Here is a 2,770-nt window from a genome sequence, read left to right as displayed (position 1 = left end):
ACAGCACAAAAGAATCTCAAAATATGCCAAATAAAAGAAAACAGACAAAATGTATATATTGTACATTTTCATCTGTATAAAATTCTAGAAGACCAACAGGTCAGGCGATGGTGATGGAGCCTGAAGAGACATAAGGGGAAGAAGGGAAGATTACAAAGGGACACAAGAAAACTGTAGGAGATGAGGTATATGTTTATTATCATAATAGTGGTGATGGTTTCGTGGATATACATGTGTCAAAACTTAACCAAATTTTACACTATAAATATTTGTGTTTATTTCATGGCAATTATACATCAATCTAGATGTCAAAATAGGGCCACAAGCTCTTTTCTGTTGCTTTCAGTAAGAGATGGATTTTAATTCTCTTTCCCCTGAGTCTGGGTTGGCCTTAGTGTCTGGTTTGACCATTAGAATGTAGCAGATATTAGGACTTCTGAGCTTAGGTCATAAGAGGACTTGCACCTTTGGCACAGCTGTCTGGGAACACTCTCTGGGATCCCTGAGCCGCCACATAAGAAGTCTGGCTACCTTGAGGTTGTAATGCTAGAGAGGCCATGTGTAGACACTCCAGTTGAGGCTCCCAGCTGAGCCCAGCCTTCTCCATCAAAGTGCCAGATGTATGGGTGACCAGCTCACACCAGCCCAGGTGCCAGCTGAATACCACAAAGTAACCTTTGTTACTGTCATATGGAAAAAAATATCACCCCAATTGAGCCCTGTTTGAATTCCTAACTTCTGAAACTGTGAGATGTGTTACAATAAAATCCCTGTTGTTTGAAGTCATTGGAAAGTTTTGGAGCAGTTTATTACGCAGCAGTAGATAACAAGAAATGAATTAGTCACTTGGAAGTTGGGAGTGCTTTTGTAACAAAAACATGTGGCATTGACATTGGTACTGGGCAGTGGGCAGAAACTGGAAGGGCCATGAAGAGACTGATAGTGAAAGCTTGAAGGTCAATGAGGAGAATGTTATTGGAGCTGGAGAAGATATGACACATTATGTGGTGATAAGAAGTTTTGTGAAACTGTTGATTTTGGTAACATCGAAAATAGAATGTACCTAATGTATCTAATGAACTGGTAGATCCGACAAAGGAGATTTTCAAGCAGAATGTTTAAGGTGCCAAATGGTTTATTTGGCTGCATATACTGAGAGATACGGCTACATTAGATTCACACTCGAGATATGGCTACACTAGAGATATGGCTAAAAAAGGATGAAATACAAAAGAAACTGTTCAGTATGCAAAATTTAGAGGGATTATAAAGTAGCCAGAGCTTGCTAGGATTAAAACTGAAACTGGGCCAGGTGTGAAGGCTCATGCCTATAATCTCAACACTTTGGGAGGCCGAGGTCGGAGGATTGCTTGAGGCCAGGATTTCAAGACCAGCCTGAGCAACATAGTGAGACCCCATTTCTACCCCAAAATTTTTTTAATTGAAAAAAATCCAAAAACTGTTTCTCTTTCCCATCTTATTCAGATGGCAAAATGTTCTCAAACTAAAAACCAAAACAAGCAAAAATAACTCAAAGTCAAGACAATCTTAAGGGTGTTGCTGAGAGGCCCTTTATTAAGACTTTAATCAGTTCCTTATAGACTCTTTTAACTAGAAAAAAAAAAAGACTTTGAAGAATCTTAAGGACACCTTGCAGCCTCCTGACCCACAGTCCAAACTAGGAATGGCCTGTCTAGAAGAGATTGGGGAGTATGGCTTTTGACTAATAGAATGAACCCAAACTGGATTCCTAGGAACCCCACAAAGTTTTTAGAAAGGATTATATTGGTGGAAGGGTGATCTCTTGGGCTAAAAAGGGCAGAGTTCAAAATTAAAAGAGCCTTCAAAACTCCCAAACTTTTATGGTCAGGAGGCAGCGTGACAAACCTGCAAAATGGGACATTTCTAGTGCAAAAGGTAGGTGACGCAGGGCTCTTCCATTAAAGTCTTTGATCAATTTTGAGTTGATTTTATATGGTGTGAGATAAGGGAAAAACTTCATTCTTTTGCATGTGGCTATCCAGTTGTCCCAGTACAATTTGCAGAAAATAATATTTTCCACATTGAATGGTCTTGGCACCATTGTCAAAAATCAGTTGATCATAAATGTTTGGGTTTACTTTTGGATTCTCTATTCTATTCCATTGATCTATATGTGTATCCTTACCCCAGAACCACACTGTCTTGATTACGGTTGCTTTTAGTAAGTTTTGAAATCAGGAAATGTGAGTCCATCTACTTTGTCCTTCTTTTCAAGATATTTTTGGCTATTCTAGCTTACTAGCAATTCCATGTGGATTTTTGAATCAGCTTGTCAATGTCTACAGTGAAGTCAGCTGCTATTTTGAAATGGATTGTGTTGAATCTGTAGATCAATTTGGGGAATATTGCCATCTTAACAATATTAAGTCTTCTGATCCATGAACATGGATTTTTTCTGTTTATTTAGATATTTAAGTTTTGTCAACAATGTTTTATAGTCTTTAGAGTATAGGTTTTGCACTTCTTTTGTCAAATGTGTTACTATAGTTTTCGATGCATTATAATAAATAAAATTTTATTTTATTTTATTTTTGATACAATGTCTCACTCTGTCACCCAGGTTGGAGTGCATTGGTGTAATCACAGCTCGCTTCAGCCTTGACTTCTTGAGCTCAGTGATCCTCCCTCCTCAGCCTCCGGAGTAGCTGGGATTAGTAGGCATGCACCACCATGCATGCCTTACTAATTTTTTGTATTTCTTTCCTTTTTTTTTTTTTTTAAGAGACGG

Source organism: Homo sapiens, chromosome 14 (assembly GCF_000001405.40).
Source record: "Homo sapiens chromosome 14, GRCh38.p14 Primary Assembly".
Taxonomy (NCBI): domain Eukaryota; kingdom Metazoa; phylum Chordata; class Mammalia; order Primates; family Hominidae; genus Homo; species Homo sapiens.
Note: the sequence above shows the minus strand (reverse complement) of the source record.